General features: G+C 37.1%; 1 pseudogene, besides 2 other annotated features; it reads right to left on the reverse strand.

Annotated features, from left to right (window-relative positions):
* Positions 614 to 1,176: an enhancer, noted in NCBI's record as "H3K4me1 hESC enhancer chr6:128901198-128901760 (GRCh37/hg19 assembly coordinates)". NCBI's record gives its function as "activates a minimal SCP1, AML or CMV promoter by ChIP-STARR-seq in primed H9 embryonic stem cells {active_cell/tissue: H9 hESC(primed)}" and the evidence as "EXISTENCE:reporter gene assay evidence [ECO:0000049][PMID:30033119]".
* On the reverse strand, positions 626 to 1,513 carry EEF1DP5 (eukaryotic translation elongation factor 1 delta pseudogene 5; annotated as a pseudogene).
* Positions 1,177 to 1,738: an enhancer, noted in NCBI's record as "H3K4me1 hESC enhancer chr6:128901761-128902322 (GRCh37/hg19 assembly coordinates)". NCBI's record gives its function as "activates a minimal SCP1, AML or CMV promoter by ChIP-STARR-seq in primed H9 embryonic stem cells {active_cell/tissue: H9 hESC(primed)}" and the evidence as "EXISTENCE:reporter gene assay evidence [ECO:0000049][PMID:30033119]".

The raw sequence follows: 16,768 nt of genomic DNA on the forward strand, positions 1-16,768 counted from the left end.
TGAATAGTCATTTGCTTTCTTATTTTAAAAGATCTGTCCCCCCAACTAACTTTTTAATCTTCTACTTGTTACCAAATACGATAAAAAGGAGAGGGGGAAAAAAGCAGACACCAGTTTCATTCGTGAATGTAAACTTTGGTTTTTTGGTTTTCTTTTCTTTTTTTTTTTGAGACAGGGTCTCACTCTGTCACCTAAGCCGGAGTGCAGTGGAACGATCTCAGCTCACTCACTGCAACCTCCACCTCCCAGCTCAAGCCATCCTCTTACCTCAACCTCCCAAGTAATTGGGATTACAGGCGCAGCCACCACGCCTGGCTTTTTTTAGTAGAGAGAGGGTCCATGTTGCCCAAGCTGACCTCTAACTCCTGGGCTCAGGTGATCCACCCACCTCAGCCTCCCGAAGTGCTGGGATTACACATTGCACCTGGCTGAACTTCTGAAATGAATGAAGTGCTCCTAAATGAATGAACATCTTGAATGGCAAATTAAGTTTCAAGTGACATATAAGCCAACAAGTATTTCTAAATTTCTAAAATAAATTTCCAAATTCGAAGTCATTCTTTCTTTTCTTTCTTTTTTTTTTTTTGTTGTTGTTGTTTGTTTGTTTTTTTGTGTGTGTGTTTTTGCCGGTCTGTTTTTAATCGTGGCAGCGCCTCACACACACATTCAGGGTTCAGATCTTGTTCAAAGCTGCGATGTCGACACTCTGCACATGCTCCTCAAACTTGGTGATCTCCTCCTCCAGCAAGTCTGTCCCCACTTTGTCGTCCTCCACCACACACTGAATCTGCATCTTCCGGATACCATAGCCCACGGACGCCAGCTTGGAGGCCCCGCTCACTAGCCCATCCAGCTGGATAGAGCGCACACATGCCTCCAGCTGGGTCATGTCCGTCTTATTGTCCCAAGGCTTGATGTCCAGCAGGATGGAGGACTTGGCCACCAGCGAGGGATTCTTGGCCTTCTTGGCGTACAGCCGCAGCCGCTCCTCCCGCAGCCGCCTTGCCTCCTTGTCTTCCTCCTTATTGTCGCTGCCAACAGATCAATGTCATCGTCCTCGTTATCCTCTGCTTCTTGGCCGGGGTCGTAGTAAGGGGGGCGAGGGGAGGGGCGCTCCACTTGGCGCATGGGAGACACGTGCTGTGTCTGCGGGACTGTGGACCATGGCCAGGCGAGCTCTTCTCTCTTCTCCGGCATGTTCAGCCAGGCCTCCAGGTTGGAGACCGCCTGCTGCAGCTCCTGCACCACGCCGCGCAGGCTCTGGTTCTCCACTTCCAGGCTGGCGATCTGGAGGACGAGCTCGCTGTGGTCTTCCCTGGGGCCGAGCTCTGGCGGGAGGCGCTGGCCACAGGCCCATTCATCTGCTTGTAGAATTTCCTTTCTGTATCTTCATATTTGAATTTGTCGAGCCAGATCTTCTCATGTGCTAGGAATTTTGTAGCCATTTTTCTGACGCCTGCCAAGAATGCGGCTACCAGAAATGAGGAATCGGTAGACGCAGGACGCCTAAGGGCGAAGTTGCTCTTTCATAATGTACAAAACCCTTAAGTCTTCAACAGAAAGCACCTTTTTTATTTAAAAGAAAATCCTGCAGTTTGCAAATAAAAGTTTGTATTTCAGAGAGTTGGTGAGGAAATAATCCATTAAAGACTGCCTTTATAAACATAAACTGCTGGGAATAAAGTAAGATTTTTAAAAGACAATGAAAACATTCTGACATCTCAACAGGAGTTAGCCTGATGAATCCATCTCATACCAGAAGTCTTTGTTTTCTATTTCTGGCTCCTTCAGGAGCTCAAGGTTTTACCTTGGACAGGTCATTTCATCTGTCAGAGCCTTGTTTCTCTTACATCAAAGGAAGAGGCTTGTCTGTAAAATCTTTAAAGTTCTTCTTTTTCTCAAATATAAAATTATCATTCAGATACTCTTGGTATAATATTTAAAAATTATTTAAATATTTAAAGAAAAATGTTTTGAATATTTTTCTATATACTGAGCTGCTATGTTGAGAAATCCCAGAGGTATTATTTCAGTGTACTATTGCTCTGATGACCAGCTACCACTGGAGAGGGGTACTATTTCTTCCTTAAAACTTGTATATTCCCCTCAAATACTGATGGAGGAAAGAGTACATGAATCTTTATAGTAAAAGATAGACAATTAGATATAATTGATCTTAATAGATCTGTAGATAATATGGACCATTATCTACATATCATTTGTTAAATTAATGCCTTCTAGCACTCAGCTAAACTAATTGTATCGTGTGTGTGTATTTCTTAAGCAAAGTTTGTTTCATAGATCAGTGCCCCTGGGCTAGACAGGAAAATGTCAAAGCTCTTAAACCAGTCCACCAAAGTATGTCAACTAAAAGCCTCAGAACTAGTAGTATTTCTCGTTAGGTTTTCAGTTGCAGGGTAGAGAAAGAAAGCAAAATCACAAGGCAGGTATTTTTCTACAGCAGTTTGATTTAGCAAATGTTGAACAAATAAACCATTAACTAAATAAAATATTGCATATATATATATATATATATATATGTATATTGTGTTTATTTTCATGTTGTCTGACATCCTGACAACTAAAGGGAAAATAATATAGAAGTATTTCTACATTATTTTGTGTCTCTGAGTTTGTGTCTCTGAGTTTCCTGGGCAAACTTTGTGTCTCTGAGTTTCCTGGGCCTGAAATAATTGGCAGGGTGAATCTGAAATGCAGACACAGAAAGTCACCCTTGGTTTGATGCCCTTTTTTTTTTCCTTTTCATGTTTATATTTTGGTGCATTTCCCCCCGATATCAAATATTACCTTGGTACTAAAAAAATCAAGAAGGGAAAATGCAGGCAGGAGAACGAGGAGAATCACCTTGTTACTTCTCTCCCATATATGATTGGGCTCATGTGATTGGTGCATTAGACTTTGTAGTGTCATTTCACTCCTTTCTCTGTAGACATCAATACTAACAAATGAACTGCAAAATCCTAAAGTGTGAGGATAAACACCAATTATTTATGTATGCACATCATTTGTATGGATTTCTAACTATTGATCTTCAGGTAAATGTCTAGACAGAAGTAGATTTAAATGTATAGGTAGTTGTGCTATATTTTTACATTTATAGTAATTAACATCTAGAAAAGCAAGAAGGAAGAGACAAAATATCAGTTATTATTTTGCCTACTTGCCTCTGCAAAAAAGAAGAAATAAAAGGATTGCCTTCTATCTACCTGAGACAGACATTTAAACTATAGTGAATTCAGAATCTTTAGGCATTCTCCTCAAAGTTTCCTTCAGTGAAAATTGATTTGAATCAAAAATTTATGTTAAAAAAAATGGCAGGGCCAATGTTCCTAGCAGAGTTATCTGAATGATTTGCTAGGTCAAGCAATCGGTCAACTATTTTCCTCTAGATCATAGGATTAGCATATCAGGCCAGATACTTATCCTGTGCAATGTTGAGCACAGTTATTTTTGGAATCTAAGAGATCATATGATTTGACACTCCTAAAGGAGACCTTCTAAGACTTTACTTCCAAAAAACTGACTGGATATTATAGTAAAATATAATTCCTATACTAAAATACAGCTGTAAAAACCAAAATGCAGCTTGAATACATTTAGAGGGAGTCTTCAGTGCTTTGTCCATTAGATAAAAAGATTGCAAATTAAAAGTACTCAAAAATTGCAGTTGACATTCAGAAACTCATTAGCTTCTTTCTTTCCCAAAATCACCATAGCAATTAGTCTACACTTTAATTGGTCAAAATTATTCATCATTAAAACACTGATTTCTAAAAGACCATTTTTTTTCCCCTCTGTCTTGGACTTAAATTTTTTAGGAATTTAAATCTTCTTTCTCTACCAGTTTCTGAAATGATTAAGCACATTTGCATTTTATCTGTCTAGAGAAGATATTCCTTCCCTTGAACTCTCTCATTCTGGCCTCTTCTGCTTGGTCAACTGTCTGTGGAAATTCTGTGCTGATCATCTATAGATTACATGCTAATCTATATTTCCTAAGAAAAATAGGAAAAATATGTACACAGGGTTCAGTTTACATTTAGAAATCTCAGGATCTTCTGTCAATTCTTACCCAATTTTCATGATAATCCCTACATTTTTTTCTTAATTTAACTTATCCAGTTTAAGATGTTGCTTCCTTATTAAAATATTTATCACCTTAAAATTGTCCACTACAATTTAATATATAGAAGCTTTTATATTCCTTCCTTCCTTCCTTCACATGTCCAGTCAATTAGTCATTTATTCATTCAGTATCTTCCAGTGCCAGCACTGTGCTAGAAACATGGAATGAAAAGAGGAAAGAGGTGTGTTCTATGATCTAAAAATGTTCCTAAAGGTCAGGTAAACAAATAAGTGCATTTAAATGTTAAGAGAACAAAGACAAGAGAATATGCAGGACATGCCGGAGGCCCAATGGAAGGTAGGAATTTTCCCATCTGGGAGGCAGGTGGTGAACCAGAAGGTTTATAGGTGAAGACGATGCTTGAACTGTGTTCACAGGTGCTTTTTGCCAGATAGTCTAACAGATTAAGGTGCTCTCCCTATAGAGGGAGAACCAGAGGGCTGGAAACTGAAGGATGAATTCAGGGAAAATGACAAGTAGTGCAGTCTGGCTAAAGCAGAAAGGCATATCAGTGGGGCAGGGACCAGTTAATGGATAATAACAAGACAGAGAGTTTGGATTTCAAACCACAAAATATGGTCAAGGGAAAAATCAGCAGAGTTAAGCCAGAACAATAATATGATATATATTTTTTCATTTAGACAGAATGCACTGGATATTTAAAGAAATAGAAATAAAACATTTCAGAATCTAGCTTTTGCTTCTCATTGACAAAGTCTTTACTAAGATGGAATAAAAATGGAAGCATGGAACAGAGAGAGAGAAGTTGTATTTCTTCATGGGATGACAAGAAGGGTAGATGAGGCTCGCCCAAGTACAGTGATGTTTACACCTAATTGATCACAACCAGTTACAGATTTCTTAGTTCTTTCTCTACTCCCATTGCTTCACTTGACTAGACTTAGAAATGAAAAAAAGAAAAGAAAAAGGGTGGATTATAGAGCTTAAGATCTGTGCTTTGGTCCCCATATTTCCAATCCTTGTCACCAATGCTTGGTAAATATGTGGGTATATAAAAAATTATATTTAATTAATTAATTAACTATTTTTTTGAGATGGAATTTCGCTCTCATTGCCCAGGCTAGAGTGCAGTAGTGCGATCTCAGCTCACTGCAACCTCCACCTCCCGGGTTCAAGTGATTCTCCTGCCTCAGCCTTCCAAGTAGCTGGGATTACAGGCATCCGCCACCATGCCCAGCTAAGTTTTTGTATTTTTAGTAGAGACGGGGCTTCACCATGTTGCCCAGGCTGGTCTTGAACTTCTGACCTCAGGTGATACACCCGCCTCAGCCTCCCAATGTGCTGGGATTACAGGTGTGAGCCACAATGCCCGGCCCTTAATTATGTTTTTTTAAAGCTATATGACAGTAACCAAAACTATATGATTGAGGAAATATTTGTAGAAATGATATATATGACAACAGTAGCAAAAAGGACAAGGGTAAATAAACAGAAGTCATATTTTTCAAAATTCTTGCACTTTATTAGAAGTATTATAAAATTAATTGTAAGTAGATTGTGGTACTTAATAATGAATGTTGTAAACCCTACAGCATACACTAAAAATAATGTAAAAATGTATATTTAAAAAGCCAATAGAGGAATTCAAAGGAATATTTTATAACAACATCAGTTAACCTTAAAGAAGACAGAAAATAAGGAAGACAGGAACAAAAATACAGGTGAGACAAACAGAAAAGACATAGCAAGTTATAGTTGGGTCTTGATTTTCAAAATCTGGGCTAAGAATTTCCATCTTTTAATGGGGAGAAGTAATCTATTTATAACAAATATAATTGTCAATTAAGTTGGGCTTAAGTCCTATTAAAATATATAGATTTTTAGCCTGGATAAAAATGTATGGCCCCATTATATCCTGTCCATAAGAGAAAAACTTTTTGTTAAGAAAATACAGATTGATTGAAGCAAAATAATGGAAAAAATTATACCATGCATTCAATAAACATAGGCAATATGGAGTGCCTATATTAATACCAGAAAAAAATAGACTTCAATGTAAAGAGTATTATCAGATATGAAGAAGAATATTACATAATAATAAACTGCTGATTCATTAAGGAAATATAACAATTATATATGTGGGAAGGTGGAGCAAGATGGCAGAATAGAAGGCTCTACCGATTGTCCCCACTACCCTGCAAGGACACCAAATTAACACCTATCTACACAGAAAAAAATATCTTCAGAAGAATCAAAAATCAGGTGAGCAACTCAGTACCTGGTTTTAACTTTATTGCTGAATGAGGCACTGAAGAAATAGAAAAAAACAGTCCTGAATCCCAATGCCTTCCTCCCTACCCACAGAAACTGAGTGTGGTGTGGAAAGCATCTCTCAGTGCTGAGGGAGGAGAATACAGCAATTATGAGGCATTGAACTCAGTACTGTTCTTTTAGAGCAGAAAGGAAAATCACATCAAACTTAGCTGATGTCCACCCACAAAGGGAGCATTTAAACCAGCCCCAGCCAGAGGGGAATTGCTGATCCCAACAGCTGAAACTTGAGTTCCTGCAAACCTCCACACCGAGGGATACAATACTCTATGTCTCCAAGTAAACTTGAAAGGCAGTCTAGGCCATAAGGACTGCAACTTTTAGGCAAGTCCTAGTGCTGGACTAGGCCTAGAATAGTGGACTGGGCTGGTGCAGTACATACTGAGACACCAGCTGGGGCAGGGCTGCACAGGGTAGAGGTAATGCTAGCACTCCCTGAGCCAGACACCACCACCTCTCCCTTAAGCCTAGGCTGCACAAGTCTCTCCAAAAGAGACCCCTTTCTTCCACTTGAAGGAGAGGAGAGGACAGAATGGGGAGGACTTTGTCTTGCAACTTAGGTATTAGCTCAGCCACAGCAGGATAGAGCAATGGTCAGAGTCAAGAAGCCCTTGTTCTAGGCCCTAGGTCCCAGACATTTCTAGACATACCTTGGGCCAGAAGGGAACCCACTGCCTTAAAGGAAAGGACCCAGTCCTGGTAGCATTCATTACTTGCTAACTGAAGAGTCTTTGGGCCAGGAATGACCATTAGTGATACACAGGTGCTATGTCTTGGGCCTTGGGTGAGTCTCTGAGACTTTCTGACTTCAGGTGAAACTCATCATCTTACTAGCTTGGATGGCTATGGGTCAAAACTCCCTCTGCTTGAGAAAAGCAGAGGGAAAAGTAAAGTCTTGCACCTTAGGTACAAGCACTGCCACTGGGGGGTAGAGCACCAAGTGGTCTCTTGGGGTCCCTGATTCTAGCACTTGACTCTTGGATGGCATTTCTGCACCTGCCCTGGGCCACAGAGGTGCTCACTGCCCTGAAGGATAAGTCCCAGGCAAGGCAGCATTCACCACAAGCTGACTTAGAGCCCTTGGGTTTTAAGGGAATATTGGAGATAGTCTGGCAGTACTCCTTGTGGCCTGGGGTGGTGGTGGCAATGGGGTGAAGCTCCTCTACCTTTGGAAAGGGGAGGAAAGTGTGGGAAGGACTGCATCTTGTGGTTTGAGTGCCAGCTCAGCCACAGTACAATAGAACACCAGAAGACTTCTAAGATTTTTGACTCTAGTCTCTGAACTACCAGACTGTAGCTCTGGACCCACGTGGGGCCTGGGGGACCTTGCCACCCTGAAGAAAAGGACACAGGCCTGGTTGGCTTTGCCACTGGCTGATTGGGTAGCCCCAGGGCCTTGAGTGAACATAGGCAGTAGCCAGGGAGTGACTACAGCAGGCCTTGGGCGAGGCCCGGTGCTGCGCTAACTTTAGATCTGACCCAGTGCAGTCATAGTAGTGGTGGACACAGAGGTGCTTGTGTTACTCCAAATTTAGGTGACTTGGAACAGAGAGACTTTGTTCATTTGGAAGAAATTAAGGAAAGAGAACAAGAGTCTCTGCCTGGTAATCCAGAGAATGCTCCTGGATCTTATCCAAGACCATCAAGGCAGTACTTCTATGAGTCTGCAAGAACCACAGTGTTACTGGGCTTGAAGTGCCCCTAAATCAGACACAGCTTAGATCATAACACCTAAGCCCTTTGAAATATCTGGAAAGCCTTCTGAAGAAGGACAGGTACAAATATGCCCAGACAGTGAAGACTACAATAAATACTGAGTTCTTCAATGCCCAGACACCAAAGAACATCTGACAGCATCAACACTATCCAGGAAAATATGACCTCACCAAATGAACTAAATAAAGCACCAGGGACCAATCCTGGAGAAACAGAGCTATGTGACCTTTCAGAAACAGCATTCAAAATAGCTGTATAGAGGAAATTAAAAAGAAATTCACAATAAGACAGAGAAGGAATTCAGAATTCTATCAGATAAATTTAACAAAGAGAATGAAATAATTAAAAAGAATCAAGCAGAAATTCTGAAGCTGAAAAATGCAGTTGGCATACTGAAGAATACATCAGAGTCTTTTAATAGCAGATGTGATCGAGCAGAAGAAAGAATTAGTGAGCTTGAAGACAGGGTATTCAAAAATCAACAGTCAGAGGAGATAAAAGAAAAAAAGAATAAAAAACAATGAAGCATGCTTACAGGATTTAGAAAATAGCTTCAAAAGGATAAATCTAAGAGTTATTGGCCTTAAAGAGGAGGTAGACAAAGAGATAGGGGTAGAAATTTTATTCAAAGGAATAATTACAGAGAGTTCCCAAACCTAGAAAAATATATAAATATCCAAGTACACAAAGGTTATAGAACACCAAGCAGATTTAATCCAAAGACTACCTCAAGGCATTTAATAATGAAACTCTCAAAGGTCAAGGATAAAGAAAGAACCCTAAAAGCAGCAAGAAAAAAAGAAACAAATAACATATGATGGAGCTCCAATAAGTCTGGCAGCAGACTTTTCAGTGGAAATTTTCCAGGAGAGAGTGGTGTGCCATATTTAAAGTGCTGAAGGAAAAAAAACTTGTACCCTAGAATACTATATCTGGCGAAAATGTTCTTCAAACACGAAGGAGAAATAAATACTTTCTCAGACAAACAAAACCCGAGGGACTTCATCAATACCAGACTTGTCCTACAAGAAGTGCTAAAAGGAGTACTTCAATCAAAAGAAGACATCAGTGATCAATAAGTAATCATCTGAAGGTATAACACTCACTGGTATTAATAAGTATACAGAAAATCAGAATATTTTAACGCTGTAACTGTGGTGTGTAAGCTACTCTTATCCTAAGTAAAAAGACTCAATGAAGAACCAATCAAAAATAATAACTACGGCAACTTCCCAAGACATAGTCAGTACAATAATATATAAATAGAAACAACAAAAAGTTTAAAAGCAGGGTGGGCAATGAAGTTAAGGCATAGATTTTTTATTTGTTTTCTTCTTGCTTGTTTCTTTGTTTATGCAAACAGTGGTAAATTGTTATCAGCTTAAAATAATGGGTTATAAGATAGCATTTGCAAGCCTCATGGTTACCTCAAGCCAAAAAACATACAATGGAGATGCAAAAAATAAAAAGCAAGAAACCAAGTCATAACACCAAAGAAAATCACCTTCACTAAAGGAAGGTGGGAAGGAATGAAAGAAGGAAGACAAGATCACAAAACAACCAGAAAACAATTAACAAAATGGTAGGAGTAGGTCCTTACTTATCAGTAATAACATTGAATGTAAATGGACTTAATGCTCCAATCAAAAGACATAGACTGGCTGAATGGAAGAAACAAGACCCATTGGTCTTTTGCCTCCAAGAAACACACATCACGTATAAAAACATAGACTCAAAATAAAGGGATGGAAAAAGATATTCCATGTTGATGGAAGCCATAAAAAAGTAGGAGTCATTATACATATATCAGACAAAATAGATTTCAAGACCAAAACTTTGAGAAGAGACAAAGAAGATCACTATATAATGATGAAGGGGTCAATTCAGCAAGAAAATATAATAATTTAAAATATATATATGCAACCAACACTGGAGCACCCAGATATATAAGGTAAATATTAGAGCTAAAGAGAGATATAGAACCCATATACAATAATAGCTGGAGACTTCAACACCCCACTTTCAGCATTGGACTTATCTTCTAGACAGAAATTCAACAAAGAAACATCAGACTTAATCTGCACTATAGACTAAATGTATCTAGTGGATATTTATAGAACATGTAATGCAATGGCTGCAGAATACACATTCTTTTCCTCAGCACATGGATTATTCTCAAGGATAGACCATGTGTTACATCACAAAAGAAGTCTTAAAATATTAAAAAATTGAAATAATATCAAGCATCTTCTCTGACCATAATGGAACAAAACTAGAAATTAATAAAAAGAAGAATTTGGGAAACTATACTAATACAAGGAAATTAAGCAATATGCTCCTGAATGACCAGTGGGTCAATAAAGAAATTAAGAAGGAAATTTAAAAATGTCTTGAAATAAATTATAATAGAAACACAACATACCATAACCTATGAGACACAGCAAAAGCAGTACTAAGAGGCAAGTTTATTGCTATAAGTGCCTACATCAAAAAAGAGGAAAAGCTTCAAAAAACAATCTAATAATGCATCCTAAAGAACTAGAGAAGCAAGAGCAAACCAAACCCAAAATTAGTGGAAAAAGAGAAATAATAAAGATCAGAGCAGAAATAAATGAAATTGAAATGAAAAAAAAATTCAAAGGATCAATGAAACAAGAAGTTGGTTTTTTAAAAAGTTAAACAAAATTGGCAAGCCTTTAGTCAGACTAAGAAAAAAAGGAGAGAAGATCTAAATAAATAAAATCAGAATTGAAAAAGTAGACATTACAACTGATACTCCAGAAATTCAAAGGATCATTAGTGGCTACAATGAGCAACTATATGCCCATAAATTTGAAGATTTAGAAGAAATGGACAAATTCCTAGACACATTCAACCTAGCAAGATTGAACCATGAAGAAATCCAAAACCTGAACAGACCAATAACAAGTAATGAAATTAAAGCTGTAATAAAAATTTTCCCAGTAAAGAGAAGCCTCAGACCTGATGGCTTCATTACTGAATTCTATCAAACATTTAAAGAACTAATACCAATTCTACTCATACTCTTATTAATATTCTGAAAAATATAGGAGGAGGGACCACTTCCAAATTCATTCTACAAGGTCAGTGGTTACCCTGACACCAAAATCAGACAAAAGCACATTAAAAAAAAGGAAACTACAGGTCAATATATCTGATGAATATTGATACAAAAATCCTCAACAAAATACTAGCAAACAGAATTCAACAATACATAAGAAAGATCATTCATTATGTCCAAGTGAGATTTATCCCTGAGATGCAAGAATGGTTCAACATATGCAAACCAATCAATATGATACATCATATCAACAAATGAAGGATAAAAACCATATGATCATTTCAATTGATGCTGAAAAAGCATTTAATAAAATTAAACATCACTGCATGATAAAAACTCTAAAAAAAAAAACTGGGAATGGAAGGAACATATGTCAACATAATAAAAGCTATGTACATCAGACCCACAGCTAGTATCACACTGAATGGGGAAAAACTGAAAACCTTTCTTCTAAGATCTGGAACATGACAAGGATGCCCAATGTCACCACTGTTACTCAACATAGTATTGGAAGTCCTAGCTAGAGCAATCAGACAAGAGAAAGATATAAAAGGCATCCAAATGGGAAAGGAAGAAGTCAAATTATTCTTGTTTGAAATGATATGATCTTATATTTGGAAAAACCTACAGACTCCACAAGAAAACTATTAAAACTGATAAGCAAATTCAGTGATATTGCAGGATACAAAATCAACAAACAAAAATAAGTAGCATTTCCATATATAACAGTGAACAATGTGAAAAAGAAATAAAAATGTAACCCCATTTGCAATAGCCACACATATAATTAAATAACTAGGAGTTAATTGAGGAAGTGAAAGGTCTCTGAAAACTATGAAATGCTGATAAAAGAAATCGAAGAGAACACAAAAAATGGAAAAATATTTCACATTGGTGGATTAGAAGAATTAATATTGTTAAAATGGCCACGCTATCCAAATCAGTCTACAGATTAAATGCAATCCCTATCAAAATACTAATGACATTCTTTACAGAAATAGAAAAAACAATCCTAAAATTTATATGGAACCACAGAACATGCAGAATAGCCAAATCTATCCTAAGCAAAAAGAATAAAACTGGAGGAATCACATTGCCTGACTTCAAATTATGCTATAGAGCTATAGTAATCAAAACAGCATGGTGCTGGCATAAGAACAGACACATAAACCAATGGAACAGGATAGAGAACCCAGAAACAAATCCACTCACCTACAGTGAACTCATTTTTGACAAAAGTGTCAATAACTTACCCTGGGGAAAGGACCGTGTCTTCAATAAATGGTGCTGGGAAAGCTAGATCTTCACAGGCAGAAAATTGAAACTAGACCTCTATCTCTCACCATATACAAAAATCAAGTCAATATGGATTAAACACTTAAATTTAAGACCTCAAACTCTGAAAGTACTACAGGAAAACTTTGGGGAAAATATCCAGGACGTTGGTCTGGGCAAAAATGTCTTGACCAATACCCCAGAAGCATAGGTAACCAAAGCAAAACGGGACAAATGGAATGACATCAAGTTAAAAAACTTCCACACAGCTAAGCATACAATCAAGAAAGTGAAGAAACAACCCATGGAATGAGAGAAACTATTTGCACACTTCCCATCTGACAAAGGATTAACAACCAGAATATATAAGGAGCTCAAACAACTCTACAGGAAAAAAATCTAATAATTCAATTTAAAAAATGGTCAAAAGATTTGTATAGACATTTCTCAAATGAAGACATACCAATGGCAAACAGGCGTATAAAAAATGCTCAACATCATTGATCATCAGAGAAATGCAAATCAAAACTGCAGTGAGACATCATCTCACCCCAGTTAAAATGGCTTTTATCCAAAAGACAGGCAATAACGAATGCTGACGAGGATGTGGAGAAAAGGGAACCCTTGTACACTGTTGGTGGGAATGTAAATTAATACAACCACTATAGAGGTCAGTTTGGAGGTTCCTCAAAAAAAAAAAAAAAAAAAATCTGAGCTGCCATATCATCTGGTAATCCCACTGCTGAGTACATAGCCAAAAGAAAGGATATCAGTATACCAAAGATATTTACACTCCTGTGTTTATTGCAGAACTGTTTACAATAAGTAAGATTTGGAAGCAACCTAAGTGTCCACCAACAAATGAATGGATAAAGAAAATGTGGTACATATAGACATTAGAGTATTATTCAGCCATAAAAAGAATGAGATTCAGTCATTTGTAACAACATGGATACAACTGGAGATCATTATGTTAAGTGAAATGAACCAGGCATAGAAAGACAAACATCACGTTTTCACTAATTTGTGGGATATAAAATCAAAACAACTGAACTTATTAACATAGAGAGTAGAAGAATGGTTACCAGAGGCTGGGATGAGTGGTGCAAGCCTGGGAAAGGAGGTGGGGATGAATAATGGGTATAAAAATTGTAGTTAGAATGAATAAGACCTGCTATTTGATAGCACAACAGTGTGACTATAGTCAGTACTAACTTAATTGTGCATTTTAAAATAAAAACAGTGTAACTGCATCATTTGTAACTCAAAGGATAAATGCTTCAGGGAATGGATAACCTATTCTCCATGATGTGCTAATTTCACGTTTCATGCCTGTATCAAAACATCTTCTGTGCTCCATAAATATGTACACCTACTATGTACCCACAACTTTTTTAAAAAATTAAAATATATATGTGTATGTACTAATAACAGAGCTTCAAATTCAATGAAAAAAAAAACACAAAATTTGACAGAACCGAAAAAAGAAATAGGCAATTCCAATAATTATATCACTTTTCTCTCATTAATGTAGAACAACTAGGCAAAGGAATCAGTAACTGTATGGAATATCAGAACAAAAATATCAGATACTTTCAGTTAACTAACATCAACAGAATACATCCAATAACTGCAGAATATACATTCTTTTTAAGTGAACATAGAACATTCACCAATGTAGCTGATGTGCTAAACATGTCTAAATAAATTTTAAAACCTTGCAGTATTGCTGACTATAATCTCTAACCACAATGGATGTAAATTAGAAAAAAATACGATGTCTAGGAAAGTCTGGAATATTTGAAAATTAAATAACCAACTCTAAATAATATTAATATATGGGCCAAAGGTGAAATCACAAGAAATATTAAACAACATTTTGAAGTGAATGATAATGAAAGTACAACATATAAGAATTTGAGAAATGGAATGGCAAATTCATTTGCTTTCATGAGGTGGTAACTAATATAGAATTGCCCCCTTTCTGTAAATAATTAGAAAACTGGACCAAATATGTAAAACAGTTATTTTTAAAGATTGGCCTATAGATAACAAAGGACTATTATTTTCTTAACAAATGAGTTAAGCCCTACCAGCTAGAGGAAAAACAGGTATGTAAGGATGATCACAGATTTCTCTTCATAGTTCAACACTAACTATGTGTTGTCTGCATGAGACACATTTTTAATATAATGACCCAGAAATACTTAAAAATAAAAGAATGGGAATATATGTACCATGCATTTAAAAACTATTATGATATACCAAGGAGGCTGCAGCACCACTTCTGTGGTATTCCTGCCAAAAGTATGTATCTTGAATCTAATCATGGGGAAACATCAGACAACCCAAGGTGAGGGAAACCCCACAAAATGACTGACCTGTCCTCTGCAATAGTGTCAAGGTTATAAAAGTCAAGGAAAAACCGAAGAGTTGTTCCAGATGAAGAAAACTAAAGAGACCTTCAAGGGGTGATTCTGAACTGGAGCTTTTAAATATAAGTCTTGTTGGAACAACGGGTCAAACTTGAATAGGATTCAAAGAGGTGGCCTAAAGAGTTAAAAGACTTAAGTGATAGTATTGCATCAGTGTTAATCTTCTGATTTTGATGGCTGCATTTCATTATCGTGAAAGAATGTTAAATGTCTTTGTTCATAGGAAATACACACTAAAGTAGTCAGGGTGTTGAGGCTTTAGGTTGATAATTTATTCTCAGATAGTTCAGGAAAAATTCTTTCTGCTGTTTGTGCAACTTTTGTGTACGTTGGAAAATTTTTATACAAAAATCAACTTCAAAATTGACCATATAAATGAATACCATTGAAATATCATTTAAATTATCAGTAGTAACATTAGATGCTAGAGATAGTGGAGTAATGCCTTCAAAATTCTCGGGGCAACTGCTGTTCATCACTGAATCATACGCAGATCACCTTTCAATCAAGTGTGAGGGTAAAACAGCAACATTTTCAGATATATGAGAACTCAGAGTCCCCATTCCCTCTATCAAAAACTGGAGAATCAACCTTATGCAAATGAGGCAATAAAAAATGCACACAGTGGTGGAGAGAAACAATAAAATGACAGTGTTCTGTTGGCCTAAGAAGTTAAAAAGAGGGGCCAAAAAGTAGCAGAATGGGAGAGTGTGCAGAGATATGTCTGGAAATTACTATTTTCCAATGTAGATATTTTAAAATAGGTGCATGCATTTCTTTACTGATTATTTAAAAATTATATTTAATATGAATTTAAAGAAGTGAGTGGGGAAATGAAGACGGCAAGTAAAGCCTAATTTTTTTAACAGCAAATAAAGGAGAAAGCAGAGAAGGTAGTTAAAAAGGAATCTATGTTTGAGAGACTGTTTTTCCTGCTAAATTAAGAGAAATAAGCATGGTACTGTGATCTGAAGGAAAGCCAGAAACTGGGTGACCAAATAAAATGCACTAGAAAAGAGTGCTTTTTTACTAAGGTTGGTAGAAAGGAGGTGATGTACCAAGTAGATAGAAATAATTTGTAGTCTAGTGTGCTGCAGAGAGCCTCACTTTTCTTTATACAAAGGCATATTCTAAGAAAAAAAAAATAGGGCATAGATGGATAAAGAGGATTGCAAAGCTTTGCAAAAAGTTGAAATAACATCCATGCCTCATAGTTGAGGGAGCTAAAAGAGGAACACACAGAAGAATTGCCCAGCAGCATGGATGGTCCTGCTGAGGAGGTGAACATGAATTTTTAACAGCATTAGCCACACATTTGTATAGTGCTTTTTAAAGCTTTTATTCTAATGTTTTTGGCAGCCTGGGTGTAGCTACTAAATTTAGATTTGGGATTTGCCCAGTCTTGCAAACAAGTAATAACCCAGGGTATGGCGTAAACTAAAAAGAAAAAGAAGAGAAACTATGCAAGTATGTCAGGCAGAATTCAACTGGAGGTCAAAATTTGCTGAAATAGCAGGTAGAGTGGGATTAAAGGAGCAAAAAGAGGGGATTCTATGAAGTTGTGGTCCATGAAAGACTGAGAGGAGGAGGGGAAGAAATTCAGAATTGAAATTGACTACTCAAAAGGCTTGCTCGTGAAAAAAACTGCCAATAAAAAATCAAGCATCCTTGTGTACAAAGAAGAAAATCAAAGAGAGATGCCTAGGGACCTTCAGTTGTTTTTAGGAAGTTAAGCTGGCCTAGAGTTTCTTGCTGAGTATCCTTGCATTCGTGGGGATGACATTTCTGGGACAAAGCAAACTTCCACCACATCAAACTACC

This window comes from Homo sapiens, chromosome 6, assembly GCF_000001405.40.
Source record: "Homo sapiens chromosome 6, GRCh38.p14 Primary Assembly".
NCBI lineage: Eukaryota > Metazoa > Chordata > Mammalia > Primates > Hominidae > Homo > Homo sapiens.